Source organism: Homo sapiens, chromosome 8, assembly GCF_000001405.40.
Source record: "Homo sapiens chromosome 8, GRCh38.p14 Primary Assembly".
Taxonomy (NCBI): Eukaryota; Metazoa; Chordata; class Mammalia; order Primates; family Hominidae; genus Homo; species Homo sapiens.
This window is the reverse complement of record NC_000008.11, coordinates 124,021,087-124,044,360: the sequence shown is the minus strand read 5'-3', so window position 1 is coordinate 124,044,360 and position 23,274 is coordinate 124,021,087. Positions and strand designations below refer to the sequence as shown.

Genomic DNA, 23,274 nt, shown 5'->3' with positions numbered 1-23,274 from the left:
GGTACTTTATGTCTGAGACACAACAAGATTTTAAACGTTTCAGAGAAAATCTAACTTTTCCAATAGGAAATGAATGACTTCAACCAACTAATAACAGAAGTTAAAAAGCTGCAATGCAAAGTTACCCTGTGTCAGTGACATCACAAAGAACCGTGTTTTTATGATGCTTTTCAAAATAGAAATGTGATGTGTCTTGTAGCATGCACTTGACAGCGTAATACCAAAGCAATTTGTGATCTTCACAGCATCTTTCCTATAGAAATATTTCGGTATCTTCTTTGGCACTGGGCTGTAAATACCACTTAATAAGATTCCAGAGACCAGCATTTGTTCATTCACTCATTCATTATATAAATATAGGATTCAGGACCTACAATGTGCTAGGCACAGTATTAGACACTAACACAGCACTCTGTGCATAGCAGATGCTCAATAGCTATTTGCATGAATAAGTGCGTATCGACCTGTCCTTGGAGTTGCTCCCATGAGTAAAAGGACTGCATGACCACCTCCAGGAGGTACTAAAAGGTTCACCCAAACAAACATACATTCTCCTACCTACCTCAGAAAGAAGGTAACTTCGTCCTCATTCAGTGACTGAGCATAAAAATGAGAAGACAACAGACTGCTTTCTCTTTACTATGTTTTGAGAGTTAGTATGGAGAGTGGTGATGATGAATATAGACTCTGGAGCTGCACTGCCTCAGTCGAAATCCACGCTCTTCCATTTATCAGCCATGTGACTTTAAACAAACCTCTCTTTGTGCCTCAATTTCTTTATCTGTGAAATAGGGATGATAACCTTGTACATTCCTTCCAGAGGATAAGATACTCTGCCAAGGTGCCTATAATTCGCCTCATTTCTTAAGGGCTTTCTTAAAGAGTTATGCATTATAACTGAGTTAAATGACATTATCTGGAAGTTATGGTAGCACTTAGCTAACATTTTGATGATGGAGCCAGCTGTCATGGACAGAGTATAGCTTTAGAATCAAATAACTCTGGAGGGAAATTCTAGTTTCATTACCTACCTGATGTTGGACTTGGGCACGTTGGATATTAACCCTCCAAACCTTAGTTTTCCTCATTTAAATGGGGTTAGCACCTACCCTGCGGAGTTATGAGCATTGTCCAAGAATATTAAGTGCTTGGCACACATCAGGTGCTCAATAATTGCTTGTTACCCATCCTACCCGATCCCAGCCCATATTCTTTTATAAATGAGTAAACATTTACTGAACGCCTGCCACATGGCAGCCTTGGTGCACTGGGGTAAGAGACCATTCATGTCCTCAGGACTAAGCCCCAGCCTGGTTGTTGCAAATGGCAGGTTCCGTGCTTCACCCTCTTAAGATTTCCTCCCCTTCTCCTCTAATGCTCCCTCTTAGCCACTTAGTCTGTTTCCCTCTTTCATCCCAGAAGCCTTTCTCTGTCGGAGCTTTCTCTCCTTCCCTTTGTATTTCAATCACAAGATTTCTATGTCCCATATCCCCAGTGATGTTGGGAATGACTGGATTCCCCTCTTTGAAATATTTCATTCCATTAAGTCACTTTATAAAGCACTGGTTTTTCAGGAACAGCCTTCGGAGGCTTTTTCTCCCTGAGCCCCGCGTGGTCAGGTGAGTGCTACCAGCTGAACAGTGGCACTCGGCTATGACTGCAGGGGCCCAGGTTCAGCTTTCCTCATCATTAAAAATACATAAAGGGGGCATGTCACCTGCAGACAAGTCCCTCTGTGTTAGCGCAGAAGTGAAACAGGAGAGGGAAATTGGTACCCTTTCTTATGAAAATGGAAGTGGAGTGGTTAAGCAAAGTGACTCTGGAATTGGACAAACCTGGGTTTCCATCTTGGCTCCACCATCTTCTAGCTATATCGCTTCCGAGCCTTACCTTCCTCATCTGTAGAATGAAGACACTAATAACATCCAGCTTTGGGCTGCAGTGAGATGTAGCAAATGATGCATATAAAATGCTAAGCATTGTGCCCAGCACGTGGGGAGCTTTTAGTAAATAGCAGCTATTATTATTAACAAAAATGAGGTACTTGGCTTAAAATTATGGAGACAGAGTCCAGAACTCAACAGAACCTATTTTCCCTTTCAAATAATTATTTGACAAATAAAAGCCATCTGTTCCTTTGAGATATGGATGTAAATCAAATGAAGATGCTGTATGGAGATACAAAATACAAGGATAATTACACAGCAGACCAAGGATTTAGTCCAAATCCTGTACTTCACTAAGGCCCTGGAACTCCACAGTGTTGTGGCAGGTGGAGGAGGGCTCCAGGGGTCCATCCTATGAGAACTCCCTTGCTGTAGGAAGGAAGCCTCAATTACAACAACAACAAGCAGTCACATAGGCCTTAGTTTTAAGCAAGGTACTGTCCTGGGTATTTTATCCTCTGGAAGGAATGTACAAGGTTATCATCCCTATTTCACAGATAAAGAAATTGAGGCACAAACAGAGGTTTGTTTAGAGTCACACAGCTGATAAATGGAAGAGCGTGGATTTTGACCCAGACAGCGCAGCTCCAGAGTCTATACTCATCATCACCATGCTCTATACTAACTCTCAAAACACAGGAAAGAGAAAGCAGTCTGTTGTCTTCTCATTTTTATGCTCAGTCACTGAATGAGGATGAAGTCACCTTTCTTCTGAGGTGTCTCCTGACTTCTCCCCCAGGTAGAACTAACCCTTTCTCTACCTGGCTCTTGTAGGACTCTGTACAGCCCTGCACCCTGAGGCTTATCATAGTGTAGTGACTCGTGTGTCATGAGGCCTGCATCCATGCCTGGATTGTATATTACACTGGAGCAGAGTCTGGTTCCTCTCATCCTCCAGAGCCCAGCATGTGGCCTGGCAAAAAGCCAGCACCCGACAGGCACTGGTTCAATGAATGTGAGGCTGGTTCACATCACGCTGTCAGTGTGCGAGTCATAAATCAAAATGCAGTCTACTCTATCATCGAGGTCATGGGCTTTGCCCTGGAGAACAATGTTAGCCCTCTCAACATCAGCCAATGTCATGGCCATCATTTATCAATCATTTTATAAACTTAAATATCTGCTTCTTCATGACAGTCCCATCTTAAAATGACAAACCTGAGGTTTAGTGAGTTGTGTTACTTGCCCAAAGACATGCAGCCAAAGAGGAGATGAGCTAGAAAGTAACCTTAGGGCACTGTGTGTGCTAACCCATGGTGCTTAACTCCCTGAGATGGGCAATTCTTTACTGAGTTTTCCTCTTTTCAAACCACAAATCAGAGAACAGAATAAATGTTTAAAGAACAGAATCTAATGAGACAAGCATCCTACTGGATTTTTGCTGATTAGGAATCCTTTCACATTTTAGTACTAGTTGTATAGGATAGGGAGAAAGACAGAGGAAACAGGCACAGACCCATACTATGATTTGCATATTTGTCTTTTCCAAAACTCATGTTGAAATTTAATCCCTAATGTCACAGTATTGAGAGGCGGGACCTTTAAGAGGTGTTTGGGTCATAAAGGATCTGCCTTCACAAATGGATTAATCTATGATTAATAGGCTGTCATGGGAGGGGAACTGGTGGCTTCAGAAGAAGAGGAAGAGAGGCCTGAGCGAGCATATTAGCATGCTCCACCCCCTTGCCACGTGATGCCCTGTGCTGCCTCGGAACCTGCAGGGTCCCACCAGCAAGAAGGCCCTCATCAGATACGGCTCCTCAACTTTGGACCTCCAGCCTCCATAACTGTAAAAAATAATTTCCTTTTCTTTAGAAATTACCCAGTTTCAGGTATTCTGTTATAAGCAATGCTAAATGGATTAAGACAACCCATCTCCCTTAATACTCACAATATCCATTATGAAGTAGTATTTTCCAGAGGAGGGGGACTGTGAAGCATAAAGATGTTAAAAGCATGCGAAGCTCCCCAGCTGGTGAGTGCAAAGTCTAGCGCATCTTGACCACAAAACTGGAAAATGTTTCTCCCCACTGAGACCCCTTCATAATGATTGGATCATAAACCTCCTGCAGGTTGATCTGTGCTGTTTCCTCATTTGCTCCTTCCCCACTGCACTTGGCCTCGTGCCTGGCACTTTAGCCTTCTCCGCCTCATTCCTCTTTTTCTCCCAGCCTTCCTTCGCCTCAGGGACTTGCATCCTTTGCCCTAGGACAATGAATCACACTGAAACAATAGACCTTCCCCACACCAGTCCTTCTGGGCACATATTCGCTTTTCAGTCTGAAACATCTACACACCCAAAGATGCAGGTATTTGCAACATGCCCCCGTTGTTTCTTTCCTGGGATCTTCTGTGGGTCAGTTGCAGGCTGCAGGAAAGAAGCAGGCTGTCTTGGTTACCCTGGTTACCTTTGTTGTCTGGCAGTGAGAAAGGAACGTGACTTTGGCAAAAGGGTCTGAAAGTCCATTGCTGTCAGCTGCGATGAGGCCCCGGGCTTGGTACATGTGAGCCCTCAGCTGAAAAACATGCTGTTCTGTGGACAAATCATGGAAGGGGGCAGGTGTTAGTGGGCTTTTCAAGAACAGTGTGTGCACATGTGTGTCTGTGTGTGATGTCCATCTATGTATCCACAGACAGACAAAAGGAGACCACCAGCCACATCCACCCTCCTCTGAGACAGGAATGGAAGTCCTGAAGAAAGGGAAGAGGTGATATTTATGGGGTACTTTGAACCCAGCCATCTTCCTTGGTGCTTTCACCAGGTTATGTGTCTTATTCTTCACTAAAACCATGCGAAATAGCATGCTCTCCACTTCATAGATGAGGAAAAATGGCCCACAACCAGGTTAAAAGACTTTCAAAAGTTTGCACAATTAACCCATGCCGGAGCATCGATTTTATTTCTGATTCTAAAATCCTCTTCTCTTTCTAAAATATCAAATTTTACTCCCCAGTAATTCTCCTGTTTATACAGGCATGAGTGTGTGCATGTGTGTGCATGTGGGCATGTGTGGGTGTGTGCCTGTGTGTGTGAAAGGGGCTGCTCCACATAGTTTTCACTTCAGTAAACACAATATATGTCTCAAGTCATCCATTGACTCATTTTCCATTCAGCCAGCCAGGGTCATTCTGAGCACCTACTGTGTACAGTCTTGATCTCTGAGGATTCTGTGGTAACAAGACAGTCCCTGCCCCTGGAGAGCTCCTGGGAGAAGGCAGAAGATAAGACAAGCACCCACATCACAGGCAGGGGGTCAGGGATAAGTGTCCTGTGAGAATGCTGGCAAGGAACACAGGGGTAAAGGACAGGAGTGAGCACACTGTGCTGGGATAGGAGGCCTCAGGTTGGGGCAGCTCAGGGTTCAGTGGGGAAACCTCAAGTAAGAGTTGAGTTCATCACAGTCCTTGGTCCATGGTACTTTCTGATCACTGCCCCTTGCAGGGCGCCTCTTGGTTTTTATATTCACTTATCCCTTTTTACTTCTTTACCCACTCCCATTTCACGGACTCCCCCAAAGCCACTGTGTTCAGTGTGTCTGTTTTTGTGCAGACTTGGGGAGTGGTATACAGAAGCTCTTGTGGACTAACTTGAATAACGCTACTTAGTTAAATTAAGGGTACAAATACCCTGTGAACTCCTCCACCCCCTACAATGCCATCCCTACACTTGTCTCACACAGATCCATGTGGGGACTTGTACATGGCTACTACTAATCCTTTATTAGTGTGCCTTTATCTCCTTATTTGTAAAATCGAGGTAATAATAGTTCCTCATAGGGTTATTGAAGAGAACTGAAGGGCTCAGAATGGTGCCTGGCCCATAGGAAGAACTCTAAAAGTGGGGTGAAGAGGCTGGAGTGTTGTTACTATTGCTCATTGCAATGTGAGCCTGTGGTGAGCACCTGGAAGCAACCTGCATGTCCATCACTGGGGTAGTGCAAAGGAAAAATGTCAGGAAGTTCGGGAAAGCAGTTAGGGGCAACGAATTAGAGGTACACGTGGCAAAATGGATGGATCTCAAGAATCTAAGTGCTTAGTGAGATAGGAGACAGTACTATACATGTAAAATAAGAATATGTGCACGCAAAGCAATCATTCACATTCACCAAAGCACATTCAAAGAAAAAGGGGCAGACCATAGCGGAGGTGGTGCTGCCCTTTGAGCAGAGCCCTAAAGGATGGTAACATTTGAGAGACAGAGGTGGAGGTGCCAAGACACTGGAGCAGGATGAGTCAAGACAGGGTCAAAAACACTAGGCCACATGGGGCAAGAATGTAGTCCAGTTTATCTAGAGTCTAGGGACACAGACAGCTGTAGTCGTATCACTGAGGACCTAGGAGGCCTGAACGAGGCAATCGGAAACTCTTGAAAGTCTGTGCACAGGAGCTGGTGCTAGCAGAGCAAAGCCTCAGGACGATAAAACTGAGTCAAGCTAGCCATGGACAGAAGAGGTGTCAGGGAGAAGAACCAACAAGGAGACAACACTGCTCCCTCTAGGCCAGAAGTTTAAGGACCAGAGTTTAGGCACTGGTGGAGGGGATGGAAATGAGGGGGTGGGAGGGACATGGCAGCCCTTGTTGCTATAGGACTTGACCCCTGATTGGCAGGGTGAGGAGGGACAGGAAAGGCAGGGGGTGCCAAAGACAACTCCTTACTTGATTGTCTTGAGGCTCACACACGTTTCTGTCCCTCTACCCTCCACCCCATGCCACTGTCTGGCTGCATGGGGACCAATATGGAGCCTGAGAACACAGCAACCATATCAGACCCACTCTAATCCTGCAAAGGATTTGGAAACTTGAGCTCTGCACACTTCCCAGTTAAGTCCAGGTATTTGCGGTGAAAGTTCTCCACATTCTGTCAAGGCAGGGAGAACCAGAGAAGTGATTGCTTTGGACTCAATTCTAAGTCTGTCCCCACTGTCCCTCTGTCCCCACTGCCACATACACCAATAAACCCTCACAAAACAGGCTGGGCCCTGCTGGCAAGGGAGCCCCTTAAAATGGCAACAGTAAATGATGGAATGTTCAGCAGATGGCACAGGGATTTCCCGACAGGAGTGTTTCTAGAGATGGCCCACGTGTTCCTTAGCATGCTACATAGTTTGGCAAATTTCTCAGCTGACAGTGAACTTGGAAATGGTTCATCCGGTGAAAATGTTCATCAGCTGCCCTTGAAATGGCTAACCCTGTAATTTTAGCAGACCTCCCAATGGCAGCCACACAAGCTGTGCACTGCACAACACCAGGGAGCACCATTTACTCAGTGTGAGTTTTCATTTTTCTGAAACCTTGAGTCTTACTAGTTATGTTCCTGGGACTAATCTAGTCACCCTCCTCACACTTTATTGGTACACCTCTTGTGCTATGGCTTGCTTTTTACTTGTGGTTATGAGAGATGTGTCTGTTATCCCCACTTGAGGGCCAGAATCACCTCTCACTCATCTCTATGTCACCCACTAGTTTTTCCACCATGCCTTACATATATAGGTGCAAACTAATTATTTGCTGAACAGGTATTTTCTGGAGCACAAAATTCTCCAGTAGGTGTGGAAGGCAGCCAAAGCCATCAATGCCAGTGCACAGCAGGAAAAGTTTATTAGGTCACTCTATGAAAACACACTGCAGAGGATCAGAAAGCACTAGGAAAAGTCTTTCCTCTTCTCTGAATTGTTAGTAGCTGGGATAGCAATCACATCCAGGTCCTTGGGTCTCTAGAGATAGTCGATAAAAATAGGAAGCCAAGTGAGGTTCCTATTTTTTCCTATCAAGTTAATGTGGATGTTTTTTACCCAAAGATGAAAACTCTCTCAAGGTATGGTGGAAGACAGTAGAAAGAAAGCAGGGTTTGGAGACATTTTTTTCCCCATCATTTACTAGCTATGTGTCCTTGGGCAATTTTTAAGCATCTTTGCTACATAATTTTCTTCATCTGAAAGATGAAGAGTCTTCCCAGGGTTGATTTGAGAAATCAATGACATCTTATGCATAAAGTGTAAGGCACAATGCTTGGCATGTGGTATTATGCATTTTCCAAAGACAATGCTCTTACGCATTTATATGGGGTACAGAAACCATGAGCTGAACCATTGGATATGTATTTCCAGAACCTTGTATTCTCTGACTATTGAGCAACTTCGATTCCACTGGCAGTCTAAGTTCAACCAACCTCAGAGGAGCCTTGGGCCACAGAGAAGACCTGACTCTACAGACAATTCTCCAGTGTTTCCAACATTGGCTCAACCCAAAACTCAACTTCAGCAGAAATGAAGGTAAAACTGCAGGCTGCTTTATCTGAACTCAGCAGCAAGAGATAACATAAATGGAAGTAATTTGGAAGCAGAAAGCAAAATGCAAGTGTAAGGAATATTTATAATAAAACTCAAAAATGTATCAAAACATAAACATGATGGCACTTACAGAAAATAACTACATAGAAAAAGGATTCCATAAAGCATGCTGAATTTTAAAAGCAGCCGAGCCAAGAACCAAGCTGGAGAAATATAAGTGAACCTACTGATACCAGTCTCCACTGGGTTACTACTAGGAAATGTGAATATCTGCTGTTGATATGTCAAAACTCGAATGCCACATAAAAGTAAAATCTGCCTTAATTCCACAGATCATGTAAGCACAAGAACATATTGACATTCTGACATTTTTTGCTTAAAACGCAAACTCAACCTACATAATCTGCCTACAAAGAAACTCAAATTACTTCCTCTCTATTAACAGAGAAACATAAGTGTTTATTCCAGATGTGTTTAATGATTTTACTCTTTTTAGATGGGACAATGAAAGGTAAGGTAGAACACTTAGAAACTGTACTTTACTTAAGAAGACCAATAAGTTGGCCCTAAAATAATGTGCAAAAAACTCATGCATGCTGCCCTCCTTATTATCTTTTCAGAAGCCCACCTGAGACCTCGAATGACCCTCTTTGCCCAGTGGGGACCCTACCTTGGTAGAGCAGGTTAGATGGGGGGTGATTGGTGCCAGCCCCTTTGGAGGACATTTCTGCTTCATAGCCTACTGGCAAGTTGTCCAAAATGGCACTGGCATGCTTGATGGAGCCCAGCCACAGGTACACGTCGACTTTTGCTTGCACAGACCAACCAGCCGGTCGTTTCCCAGGAGGCTGGAGAAAGGTTACAAAAAAGACTGACTTATTAGTAGGAGATAATTATAGGCCTCCCCTTTTGAGAAAAGAGGTCCTTCCTGGAGACACACCTGGAAGTATGTTCAGAGAGCAGTTCTCAAGAGCTCCTCTTAAATCAAAATAAAGACAATGGCCCCAATTGCCTTGATGCACAACTCCATATCTCCAGAGGAAGATCCAGGTCTAGTGGGACCTAAAGCTTAAACCTGCACTGTGATAAGCTCTTCCAAGCCGTGGGTCATTTAAACTTAATAGGTAGTAGGTGTGTTTATTGCCACCATTTGATAAATGGGGAAACACAGGCTCAGAGAGATAAAGTAAGTTGCCTGTGATGGCTCAGTTTTTAAGTGACAGAGACGAAAGTCAAAAATAAAAGAGATGATTCCAAATTTAGACTCTAGACTCTGAACCCCATAGCCTGACTGTCACTCTGAGCTGAAATCTTCTTCCTGGAACTTCCAACTGTCTGGAGTTCCAACCTGACTTTTTACCTCTTTGTTTCATGTAGAAGAATCCTAGTACTTCTTCCATAAGTCAGGACTCTATGACTTAGAAGAATCTACCTGGCCTGCCATGCACTTTCCTCCTGGCTAAACACCTTCACCGCTTCCTCATGCAGTGTGGTCTCAGATTCCCTTACTGCTCTGCTCTCTCTCTTTTGAATGTGCTCAGATTTGTATTTTTATTTATGTTTGCTTTAATTTCTATGTTTATGTCTGTATGAGTGGGGTAGTATTAGTATGCACAGGGAGTGTGTGCATGTCCACATGTATGTGTGTACATACGCCTGTGTGTGCATGTACTTATGTATATGTGTGTATATGCCTGCATAGGGGTGCATGTATTCTCAGAATCTAAAGACAAAATGTAGGCAGTGTGGCTCCTTTATTTCTCAGTCACCAGGATAAGGGTACTCCCTTACCCCTCTAAGGAGTCCCAGGACCCAGTCTTGGCTGTTGCCAGCAAGGCCATCATTCTGAGAGTAACCTATGGCACTTAGCTGCTACCTCTCAAAATGTTGTCAACTCTTCTTCTAAGTTCCTCTTCCTGGTGTTTCTTAGAATTTCCTGTCAGTAATTTTCTTCTTCTTCTTCTTTTTTTTTTTTAACATCACTTCCTTTCCATTGAGAGTCACAAAATCCTATTATGAAAGGCCACAACTTGCTCTGACAATTTCCAAGGACCCCATGGAGAGTCTCTGAATCCGAAATTGAGCATGGCTGTTTGCCTTTCTATTGTGCTCTGCGGGTTCCACAAATGGATTATGAGCAACTCAGCTTAGCAACTACTGCCAGTGCTGCTAGGCCCTTGCTGAGGGAGTGGGGCCAGAAGACTCAGTCCTGGCCCTCCCTCCAGGGCTCACAAAGAGGCCACTCCACTTGGCCACTTACCTTCACCTACTCAAATGCAAAGACAGAAAGTACTGAGGAAACTGAGAAGTAGCAGCAGTGATTTCCATCCTTCCTTTAGGATTCAAATATTTAGCTGGGCTTTAATGGGCACTTTAGTTGGATCCCAAAAAGAGAGGAAAGCATGTGAACAAAGATTTAGGTAATATGAGCTAATATTTAGCAAGTGCTTACTCTGTGCCAGGAATGATGCTAAGAGCTTTTGGGAAAGAAGTCACAACCAGTAAGCATAAGAGCTAGACAGAGAATGACACAGATGAAGCTGAAGAATCCTGCTCAGTATGTGGAGGAGCTGGGACTGTATTCTTTAAGCAGTAGGATGCCAGTGTTTGTTGAGCTCAAAAAAAAAAATCAAGTAAGTTTATTTTGTTGTTGGTAAAGGCAACCACTCTACAACCTGTAATTTACAAAATTATAAGACAAATCACCCTCAACTTATCACTTCTCTAATAATAATAGCCAAAATGTATTGGGGAATACATTTGTAAAATAAAATTAATACGTATTGAAAGCCTAAGATTATTTTCCTATAATAAAAGCAATCCCTCTGCCATTTGTAGACATCACTAAGACATCAATTCATAAAGAAAGGAATTTTTGTCTGTTGCTTCACTGCCGTGTCCCCAGTGCCTAAAAGAGTTCTTGGCACCCAGGAAGCATGTGGTAAATATAGGTTGAGTGAATATCCTTTATTTACTTTTCTAACAATAATAATATTTAACACATGTTGAGCACTTCTATCATTCTAGGCCCTGGTCTAATGTTTCTCTCTTCACACAGAATGTTCTATTGCCTGCAAGCTATCACCAAATCATAGGTTATCAGGGTTAGAGCCCAGACTCTCAGCCAATGCTCCTCACACACTGCTGTGAGCACATGGATTGCCAGGGCATCTGGTTAAAATGCACACTCAAATTCAACTGGTCTCTGGGAAATTTTGAGAATCTGATTTCTCCTGATGGACGCTAATCCTGCTGGTCTACAGATCTCAGTTTTAAGTATTTGTGCAGCAATGCTCTTAACTTAGTGTGCTACATTGCCCTAAGCAAAGCACATCTGAGATTCTGCAGGGTTTTCTTTTCTTTTTATCCCCCTCCCACCCTGCCCCCATAGAATCACGCTCTGTCACCCAAGCTGGAGTGACGTGGTGCAGTCTCAGCTCACTACAAACTCTGACTCCTGGGCTCAAGCCATCCTCCCACCTCAGCCTCTCAAGTAGCTTGGACCATGAGCAGGCACCACCATGCCCGGATAGTTTTGTATTTATTGATTTTTTGGGAGGTAGAGATGGGGTTTCACCATGTTTCCTAGGGTCATCTCAAACTCCTGGACTAAAGCAATCTGCCCCCCTTTGGCCTCCCAGAGTGCTAGGATTACAGGCAAGAGCCACAGAGCCTGGGCCTGTGTTTCTTTTCTTTTTTTTTGAGACAGTCTTGCTCTGTCACCCAAGCTAGAGTGCAGTGGTGCAATCTCAGCTCACTGCAGCCTCTGCCTCCCGGGTTCAAGTAATTCTCATGCCTCAGCCTCCCAAGTACCTGGGATTGCAGACATATGCCACCACACCCGGCTAATTTTTGGATTTTTAGTAGAGATAGGGTTTCACCATGTTGGCCAGGCTGGTCTTGAGCTCCTGACCTCAGGTGATCCACCCGCCTCGGCCTCCCAAAGTGCTGGGATTATAGGCATGAGCCACCATGCCAGGCTGGCCTTGTGTTTCTTAAAGTAAAACAAAACAATGACAAAAAACATCATTCATTTCTACTGCTACTAAACAATAAATGGGTGTTTAAACTCATGGTTAAAACGAAAGACTCAGCTAATGTCTTGTGAAAGTGTTCCACAAAGACTGTTGCTGCACTCCTAAAGTTAGCAACTTGTACATTTAAAAAAATATATGCAAATTGGAATTGCTGGCAAGATAATGCAGTGTCTCACTTAAGTATCTAAGTTGGATTCATTCAACATTATCGAGCACCTTCCTAGGTGCTTTCAGGAACAGGATCCCATTTTTAATTTCATGTGTACTTTCAGCCTGGTTACATGTCTGCCCCTGCCTTCCCTCAACTGGGGCTCAGAAAACAATACCCCCAAATGAAAGCCTCAGAAGCAAAAGTGTTTCTCTGACCTCCTGCCCTCTTATCTCTCAGTCCCATTCACCCCCAGGTTAGCCATAGAAACTAGAATCTCTCTTCCCTAGTGCAGGTCACAGAAACCAGAACCCCATTTCCCCAAAGCCAGCTATAAAACCTAAAAATATGACTCTAACTTTCCCTCTGCCTTTCTATGTAAAAATTGGCCATAAAGAAATTATCTGACCTATCTTGTGTAACTGTAGCCCATTCCAGAGAGGGTTCTACTCCACATCCAGAAGGAAAGAATGCTACAGAGAGGCCAAGAAGCAGCTAGGCAGACAGGCCTTGCTGTTTCCCCACTCAGTCCACTAGCATTAGATAATACCCTTTTTACTGAATCGTATTTCTACATGTCCATCCATGCTTTGTTGAACCTAAGCATAAAAATGGATGATTTCCCCCTATTTTGGGATCTTCCTTCTAAAGGCTCCCATATATTAATGTGTATATTTAATATATACATTAAATAAATTTGTATGCCTTTTCTCCTATTAATCTACCTTTTGTGAATTGATTTTTCAGCGAAGCTTCAGAGGGCCAAGGGAAAGCTCTCCCTTGGCTCCTACACCTGCTTCCCCACTCTCCTTCCTCTCTCATGTGCCCCTGAAGCTTCACCAACCACAGCAAGGTATTTCCCTCTGAGAATAGCATGGAAAGGTAGGAAAAAAGAAAACACAACAGAGAAAAACAATTAAGAATGCAAAAATGCATCAAAAAGCTGTGATCATCCATATATAAATATTGCATGAGACAGAATACTAAAGGCTCAGTCTCCCCTGTGCCTTCCCCACCTCCCACGGGGTCCTGGTGCAAGACAGCCGGCTCAAAAGGAAGAGGAAGTCTTGGCAAGTGAGAGAAGGAGAGAGAGAGGTAGTAACTCACATGAACTGTGTTGGAGTTGGTCAGTATTAGTGAGAGTGAGGTTTGTTTATGTGGTAGAGGTTTTACTCTGTGGCAGGACAGAGAAAGGTGCTATTTAGCCATCACTTCCTGCTGCATCCTAGGAAAAGCTAGATGGAAAGCTGGAACCTGGAGAACAGGAGATGGACTCCCTGTTGTGGAGAGAAGGTAGGATAGGGATGGCGATGGGAGTGAGGAGTGGACTCAGCCCAGAGCTAACTCAAGGAGAAGAGGAAGGTTGAGCGCCACCCTCTGGGCTCTGAGAGCATCTAGCTCCTTCCTTAGGAAGGGTTTCCTTTCGGTGATGAATTTCCATTTCCACATTTCCAGCCATCAGGAGCACAGTGGGGATAAGACTAAAAGGAGAGGATCGTAAACTTTTGAGTGGTGAGTTGGGCTGAGTTCTGCAAATTCTGTTCCATCATTTTTAGTAGCATCATGAATATGTTTAAATTAGAGAAAAAGGAAGATCATGCAACCCGGGACCGCAAAACCTTCATTGCTGTTACTGATCAATCATTACTTAGCCGTGTGACTACAGATGAGGCACTTTGTTTCCTCTGTATTAATAGTTTCCAGGAAGAGAAGTTTCCTAAAACTTACAAATAGCCATTCTGGATGCATAAGCTTGACAAATGTGGGCTTAAAAAGTTAAAGATGTTTCACATGGTACTGGTACCAAAACAGACATATAGACCAATGGAACAGAATAGAGACCTCAGAAATAACACCACACATCTACAACCATCTGATCTTTGACAAACCTGACACAAACGAGCAATGGGGAAATAATTCCCTATTTAATAAATGGTGCTGGGAAAACTGGCTAGCCATATGCCAAAAACTGAAACTGGACTCCTTCCTTAAACCTTATACAAAAATTAACTCAAGATGGATTAAAGACTTAAATGTAAAACCCAAAACCATAAAAATCCTAGAAGAAAACCTAGGCAATACCATTCAGGACATAGGCATGAGCAAATATTTTATGATGAAAATGCAAAAAGCAACTGCAACAAAAGCAGAAATTGACAAATGAGATCTAATTAAACTAAAGAGCTTCTTCAAAGCAAAAGAAACTCTCATCAGAGCAAACAGGCAATCTACAGAATGGGATAAAATTTTTGCATTCTACCCATCTGACAAAGGTCTAATATCCAGAATTTACAAAGAACTTAAACAAATTTACAAGAAAAAAACAACCCCATTAAAAGGAGGGCAAATGACATAAATAGACACTTCTCAAAAGAAGACATTTATACAGCCAACAAACATGAAAAAACTCAACATCACTGATCTTTAGAGAAATGCAAATCAAAACCACAGTGAGATACCATCTCACACCAGTCAGAAAGGCAATTATAAAAAAGTCAAGAAACAACAGATGCTGGCAAGGCTATGGAGAAATAGGAACACTGTTGGTGGAAGTGTAAATTAGTTCAACCACTGTGGAAGACAGTGTGGCGATTCCTCAAGGATCTAGAACCAGAAATACCATTTGATCCAGCAATCCCACTACTCTCTATATACCCAAAGGATTATAAATCATTCTACTATAAAGACACATGCACACGTATGTTTACTGCAGCACTGTTCACAATAGCAAAGACACAGAACCAACCCAAATGCCCATCGATGATAGACTGGATAAAGAAAACATGGCACATACACTCCATGGAATACTATGCAGCCATAAAAAAGAATGAGATCATGTCCTTTGCAGGAGCATGGATGAAGCTGGAAGCCACCATTCTCAGCAAACTAACACAGGAACAGAAAACCAAACACTGCATGTTCTCATTCATAAGTGGGAGTTGAACAATGAGAACACATGGACAGGAACATCACACACCGGGGCCTGTCAGGGGATGGGGGACAAGGGGAGGGAGACCATTAGGACAAATACCTAATACATGCAAGGCTTAAAACCTAGATGACAGGTTGATAGGTGCAGCAAACCACCATGGCACACGTTAACCTATGTAACAAACCTGCACATTGTGCACATGTATCCCGGAACTTAAAGTAAAATAATAAAATATAAAAAAGTTAAAGCTGTTTCCCAACTGCAGGACTTCTTGGAACCTTCCACTGGTTAATGGGCACTGTGACACTGCAAGAGTTTCCAAGGTTACAACTGCAACTTCTTAAAAGCATTTGAACATGGAACATTTACAGAGCCACTCAAAGAACAGCAGCTCTACAGAATAAAGCTTGAGGAAACTTTAGCTTAGAGAGTTTAGAGATTTACATTCTATGTTCCCCTCCCCACCCCCGCCCACCTTCACTTCCTATTTCCCAGCTAAAAAACTGGAGTGAGTGGCAGATGAGGGAATACTCAGTGTCCCTGGTGCAGCCTTTGCTTTTTCTGATCTTGCTCATTCAGTGAAGAGAAAGGGGCATAAAGAGAGATGGTGGGTGAGAGGGGACTTAAAGTCAGGAGTGAAAATCAAAACAGGAATGAAAATGGTCTCGCTGAATCATCTTATCAAGATATTTTATCAAGTTTATATAACTGGATTCAACAAGATCCAGAAAGCTACTGCCCAGAGCAATTCCAATGGCAAAAGGAAAATACAAATAAAGAAATAAGCTAAGGCTTACAGATGAAGATAATATTCAGATGATGAATGCTCCAGGGCAAAAGTTCTGCATTCTCAACTCTTCTAACCTCTGACTTTATTTGACAGCTGTTCTTTGTTCTAATTTTAAATAGTGCCAGGATACATCAAAATATTTAGAAGTGAGTAACTTTATACCACCTTTCTAGTATTTTTAGCACAGGGCCTTCTGAAGTGTTTTGCTATTTTTAATATAAATATTTCTTGCCTCCTTAGCATTCTTTGAATGGAGAAAGTTAAAGAAAATTCTTGATAATTGTGGTGAATGACTTGGGTGAAAAACTTTGTTTTTCAGTTATAGTTTTACTGGAGTGGGTTTAAAAGCCATTTTAGGCCAGGCACAATGGCTCTCGTCTGTAATCTCAGTGCTTTGGGAGGCCAAGGAAGGCAGAGGAATCACTTGAGGCCAGGAGTTTGAGATAAGCCTGGGTTACATAGTAAGATCACATCTCTATGAGAAATAAAAATTAGCCAGATGTGGTGGCACATGCCTGTCGACCTAGCTATTCAGGAGGCTAAGGTGGGAGGATTGCTTGAGCCTAGGAGTTCAAGGCTACAGTGAGCTGTGATTTTATCACTGCACTCCAGACTTGGCAATAGAATAAGGTGCTGTCTCTAAAACAAAATCATTTTACATACATGACAGAAAATAACACGGAGAGCCTCAGACAACTCGCTGGATATGAGGGGGACAAAATTACAGCAATGTCCTCTGGGAATGTGGATGTCTAGTTGTTCAAATGCCAGCATTTATTGAGTGATTACTCTGTGAGGCACAACTACATGTTCTTTACTTGCATTTATTCACTTTTTCCTCACCATGATCTCCATTTAATGAATGAAAAATAGGATGAACATTCTTTATCCATTTGAAAGTTGAAGAATGTTAAATTGCCCAAGGTCATACAACTAGTATATATTGGCCCTGGAATTCTGTTATGGGTTGAATTGTGGTCCCACAAAATTTTTATGTTGAAGTTCTAATCCCCAACACCCAAAATATGACCTTATTTGGAAATAGGGTCAATGCAGATATAATTAGTTAAGTTAAAATGACATTGTACTGGAGTAGGGTAGGTCCCTAATCCCATATGACTGGAGTCACAAAAATAATATCATATGAAGGGACAGACACAGAGGAAGAATGTCATATGGAGATTGGCGCCATTCTAGTAAAAGCCATGGAACCAACCAGAAGCTAGAAGAGAGGCCTGGAACATGCTCTTCCCTAATACCTTCAAGGGAACATGGCCCTGCCAACACCTTGACCTAGGACTTCTAACCTTCAGAACCATGAGATAATATATCTCTGTTGTTTAAGCCAGTCAGTTTATGCTACTTTGTTACAGTAGCCCTAGTGATCTAATACAAATTCCAGCCCAAATTCACCTTATTTCAAAGTCCATGCTTTAAACCATTATCCCACACTGCTTCTCATGCTTAATAATAGGGCCCTTCTGTCTGCAACATTTAAAAAAAAAAATCACATCTATAGTAAACTCTTGAGGTTAGACAGCATTTAGAGGCTATTTAATTTAGCTACCTGCTGCCATGTTTGTATCAAATAGTTGCCCAGGGTGTGTTAACACCTCTAAGGATGAGGAATGCATTATGGACTTCCATTTAGGAAACTATTTCCCTGTAATGTCTTTGTAGGGCCTGATTTTACCTGCTGGATCTCTCTCTCTCCTATACCTCCCCTCCGTCTATATACTGCCCCACAAACACTGAAACTACATTCTCATGCTGTCAAATCTCCTCAGCTAAGAACTGCTATCTCTTTACCTGTTCCTCTATGGCATGATTTTGAGCCTTTTCACCCTCCCTGAGTTAGTAAAGGAATAATTATTTTATAGCAAGAAACCAGAACTGATATTGGGAGGACAGTCAGCTATGAGTTAGGAAAAGTTAATCAGTCAACTTGTACTCTAGTCAGTTGCTGGTGGGGGTAAAGGCTTTGGACACATTTTTCTCTTATTCATTCATTTCTACTCACTGGAATAAAAATGTATTTGTAGTGGAGGTAAAATACCCAGGGCCTCCAAGCAAAGCTCAAATCTTGAGTTAGAGACAGTAGAATCTGTCCAGAGATACATGTCTATAAGGGCCCACCCAGAAGGCATCTGGGGACTCTGTCTTGATGAAGGGTGCAGGACCCCCCAGTTGAAAATTTTATATTTTTACAATTTAAAGTCACAAGGAATCCTGAACTAGCTGTTCTGTCCTTCTTCTAATTTTCTTTGAAGCTATTTTAAAATACAGATTAACTCATGTGAGAAGATGCCATGGACAAATTACACAAGTGAAAAGGTAATGAGGAAACTGATAGAAAAATGTTCATTCTAAGAATCATAGATGACACAAACAAATGCAAATACCTCCCATGCTCATGGATTGGAAGAATCAATATCATGAAAATAAGCATACTGCCCCAAACAATCAACAGATTCAATGCCCTTCCTATCAAAATACCAACGTCATTTTTTACAGAATTAGAAAAAACTATCCTAAAATTCATATGGAGCCAAAAAAGAGCCCAAATTGCCAAAGCAATCCTAAAGAAAAAGAACAAATCTAGAGGCATCACATTACCTGACTTCAAATTATACAAGGCTATAGTCACCAAAACAACATGGTACTGCTATAAAAGTAGATATATAGGCCAGTGGAATAGAATAGAGAACCTAGAAATGAAGTCAAATATTTATAACCAACTGATCTTCAGCAAACTATACAAAAACACAAATTGGAGAAAGGATGCCTTATCAATAAATGGTACTGGGAAAATGAGATAGCCACATGTAGAAGAATGAACCTGGATCTCTATTTCTCACCATATACAAAAAAATTAACTCAAGATGGATTAAAGACTTAAATCTGAGACCTGAAACCATAAAAACTCTGGAAGAAAACCTAGAAAAAAACTCTTCTGGCAAAGAATTTATGACTAAGACACCAAAAACAAATGCAACAAAAAAATAAATTGTACCTAATTAAACTAAAAAGCTTCTGCACAGCCAAAGAATCATCAGAGTAAACAGAAACCTAGAGAATGGGAGAAAAGATTTGCAAATTATGCATTCCATAAAGGACTAATATCCAGAATCTACAAGGAACTCAAACAAATCAACATAAAAAAATAATTCCATTAAAAACTGCATAAAAGACATGAATAGACACCTCCCAGAAAAAATATACAAATGGCCAACAAACATGAAAAAAATGCTCAGCATCACTAATCATCAAGGAAATGCAAATTAAAACAATGATTGAGATACCACCTTACCCCAGCTAGAATGGCCATTATTAAAAAGTCAAAAAACAATAGATGTTGGCATGGATGCAGCTAAAAAGGAATGCTTTTATACTGCTGATGGGACTGTAAATTAGCACAACCTCTACGGAAAACAGTATGGAGATTTCTCAAAGAACTAAAAATAGATCTACCATTCAACCCAGCAATCCCACTACCCACTATTGGGTATCTACCCAAAGAAAAAGATCAAAAAGACACCAGCACGTATATGTTTATTGTAGCACAATTCAAAATTGCAAAGATATGGAATCAACAACATAAGTGTCCATTGCCTGATGACTGGATTAAGAAAATGTGATATATATACACCATGAAATATGACTCAGTCATAAAAAGAATGAAATAATGTCTTTTGCAGCAACTTGAATTGAGCTGGAGGCCATTACTTATTCTAAGTGAAGTAACTCAAGAATGGAAAACCAAATACTGTATGTTCTCACTTATAAGCAGGAACTAAGCTATGGGTATGAAAAGTCATACAGAGTGGTATAAAGGACACTGAAAACTCAGAAAGGGGGAGGGTGGGATGGGGATGAGGGACAAAAAACTACCTATTCATACATTGTACACTACTCAGGTGACAGTTACACTGAAATTCTGGATTTCACCACTATTCAACTTATCCATGTAATCACAAACCACTTGTAACCCTAAAGCTACTGAAATAAAAAAAAAAAAAAATGGCCAAGTACGGTGGCTCACGCTTGTAATCCCAGCACTTTGGGAGGCCGAGGCAGGCAGATCACAAGGTCAGGAGTTGGAGACCAGCCTGGCCAACATAGTGAAACCCCATCTCTACTAAAAATACAAAAAATTAGCTAGGCATGGTGGTGGGCATCTGTAATCCCAGCTACTTGGGAGGCTGAGGCAGGAGAATCACTTGAATCCGGGAGGCGGAGGTTGCAGTGAGCCGAGGTCACGCCACTGCACTCCAGCCCGGGCGACAGTGCAAGACACTGTCTCAAAAAAAAAAAAAACCTTAAGGTTCATTGTTATTAATACTAGTAATCAAAGAGGTAAAAATTAAAGTAACCCATTAGATTAAAAAAAGAAACTTATGTGTGTCTGGTGATGTAACAGTTAAAAAAACTGAAAAAATTCCACCTAAAGGTGGTCTACTGAATTGCAATTTGAACCAAGAGGCACCAAGGTGTTCTAGTTGTCCTCCTACCTTTGAAAGCACTGGGGAATGGTCAGAGCCATGGACACACACTAGAAAGTCTGAGCCACCCTAGAGAAACAGAAATCTCCCTTCTTTTAGTTAAAATACTGCACACTTACTTTGAGGAAGTGAGTTTTGATCTTGCCGCAGTGTTTGCCCATCTGCCCCGCGACAGGGGAATAGAGGAGGTCTTTGGAGGCGATGCGGGCATAGGCCACTCTCCTGTTGTTGCTGAGCATCCAGATGAAAACGTCAGGGATAGTGTGCTGGGGCTGTGGGAATAGAGGGAGTTGGGATTGAATAGGAATGGGATTTGAAAGGTTGGCATTGAACAAAGGCACTTGCAGAGTTCTGCTATCCTGAAATATTCCCTCTTCGACAAAACAAATGCTGTGACTGACACCATCTAGGCACTGAAACATCTATGCCATCAAGCAAATTAAGTGCAGTTTCCTAGAGAAGAGAAAGCCTTACTTAGGTCATGAGTTAAAAGTGCATACAGCTGGGCGGCAGTGGCTCATGCCTGTAATCCCAGCACTTTGGGAGGCCAAGGCACGTGGATCATGAGGTCAGGAGTTCGAGATCATCCTGGCCAGTATGGTGAAACCACATCTCTACTAAAAAATACAAAAATTAGCTGGGCGTAGTGACACTTGCCTATAGTTTCAGCTACTCAGGAGGCTGAGGCAGAAGAATCGCTTGAACCCAGGAGGCGGAGGAGGTTGCAGTGAGCCGAGATCATGCCACTGCACTCCAGCCTGGGAGACAGAGCAAGACTCCATCTCAAAAAAAAAAATAAATAAATAAAGTGCCTACAAACCCACATGCCAAATTGCTCATATGAGAACATGCAAGCTGGATCTGTGATTTGGCATCTTTGGTAGCCTACTTTTCTCATCTGCAGGACAAACACTTTTGCACAACTTCCCATGGATTTTTTTTCCAATCTTGTAATAATGATTTAGTTTTAAGCACTGCTCAGAGTCAGATAACATTTCCAGAATATTCAAATGAAACAACAAAAACAAAAATCTATGAATGTCTTTGAATGACTTTCCTTACACTTGCTCTTAGGCAAGTATTTCTACAAGGAACTGTGTACCTATAATATGATTGCAAGATATTTTAGTTCCATTTTAAGTGGTTATTCAGCAGGAACTCAGCTAAATTGCACAGGAAATTAGAATTTAAAGTCGAATTAATTAAGATAGGAAGAGTAGAATTCCATGCCAAGTGGCCCATTATGTTATGGGTGTTTGAAATTCACATTTCTGAACAAACAAAACTCTCAAAACAAAAAGGAAGTATATTGTTTTAAACAAGGGTTTGACATTCCTGGACTGGAAGCAGATGCTCTGTCTTTCCAATCCCTAGTGATCAGGTAAAACTAATCCCCAAAGAGGACATCCCTTCTCTCTTCTGAGTGCTTATTCAAATTCCTATGTCTACTGACTGCCTGTCTCACCGAGTAATATGCCTCCAGGGAATGACTGATTTGCAACAAGAACTACAACTTTCAAGAAAAACAGAAGCAGTAAATCTCGCTTCCTGAAATCTTCCCACATCAAACCCTGTTTTAGAAGTTTCTACACATTTGCAAGCTTCAAGAACGAGTGTCAGTATCTGACAGATGCAAATATGAGGGCCGTTTTTAAACAGGTCATTCTAGAAGTCACCAGAAGACACCGTTTACAACTAACTTTAAAATCAGAAGCTGCCATGCCCTTTACTGGGCACGAATTTAAATCCTTTTATAGTTGAAAACCTATCAAAGTTCCTGGGCTTACGTTGACTTCACTTGAGCCCATTAGCGAATGTGCCTTTTATTTTGCTGAATGTTCAGGCTTTGTGAAAAAAAAATGAATAAAGCTGTACTTGTTTGGTTTAATTTAAAAATCTCTTCTCTAAACTAGGAGTGCCTGCGTAGCCCACTAGGGCTGGGGAGAAAAACATTGATTCATATTTCACCCGTACCAACCATTCAAACCTCCCTGGAAGACATTCCATCTAACCTTCCAAATGAGGTTTGCCTTTAGAGTCAGTTACCTCATCAACAAGAAAGCGGATTTTTTCCACAAAGTTTTGGGCTTCGTGAATCATTTCATCAACAGATAACTTTTTCTTCTGCTGCTGAATGATCCCCTTGGCCTCCTTGCACATTGCTTCCTAAAACAAGACAAGAGTCAGTGTGGGTCTTTCGAGAGATCTGGACAACAAGCAGCGTCCTGTTGCTGAAGAGACCTGAAGGTCCTGGTGAGCTCCACACTGAGTCACTCACGTGGACTGTTCCAGGGTCTGCCACCGTGCATGCTGCCTCCTTGGTGGAAATTTCACAGGATTATGGAGGCTGTAATATCATCTCACCTCTGCTTGACAGATGAGAAGCTGAAGCCCAGAAAGGCTACAGGTTTATCAAGGTCACATGGCTTATTAACCAGCACCTGAATCCAAGCTGACATGGTTTGGCTGTGTCCCACCCAAATTTCATCTTGAACTGTAATTCCCATGATCCCCACATATCATAGGAGGGACCCAGTGGGAGGTAATTTAATCATGGAGGCGTTTACCCTTATTTTGTTCTCGTGATAGTGAGTAAGGTTCTCATGAGATCTGATAGTTTTATAAGAAG

At 42.1% G+C, this 23,274-nt stretch overlaps 1 protein-coding gene and 1 long non-coding RNA gene across 11 annotated transcripts in view; one reads left to right on the top strand and one right to left on the bottom strand.

Moving 5' to 3' along the window:
* The window catches only part of FER1L6 (fer-1 like family member 6), a 268,075-nt gene that overhangs the window by 75,701 nt on the left and 169,100 nt on the right, over positions 1–23,274 (bottom strand). For 7 of the 10 annotated variants that reach the window (XR_928347.3, NM_001039112.2, XM_011517231.3 and 4 more), the window contains 4 exons: positions 22,692–22,811; positions 20,765–20,917; positions 8,907–9,084; positions 4,355–4,479 (listed from right to left, as the gene is read on the bottom strand). Coding sequence is in view for 7 of the 10 variants with exons in the window: in NM_001039112.2 (NP_001034201.2) it covers positions 4,355–4,479; positions 8,907–9,084; positions 20,765–20,917; positions 22,692–22,811 (576 nt within the window). In the remaining 3 variants the exon portion in view is untranslated. Of the gene's footprint in view, positions 1–562; positions 3,799–3,837; positions 4,328–4,354; positions 4,480–8,906; positions 9,085–20,764; positions 20,918–22,691; positions 22,812–23,274 lie in introns of those variants that run through there. The other 3 variants (XM_047422118.1, XM_011517236.3, XM_047422117.1) reach the window with 3 other exon arrangements.
* FER1L6-AS1 (FER1L6 antisense RNA 1) overlaps positions 3,579–23,274 on the top strand; it is a 56,645-nt gene continuing 36,949 nt past the window's right edge. Inside the window, exon 1 of the long non-coding RNA NR_040044.1 lies at positions 3,579–3,735. This is a non-coding gene — a long non-coding RNA (FER1L6 antisense RNA 1). The remainder of the gene's footprint in view (positions 3,736–23,274) is intronic.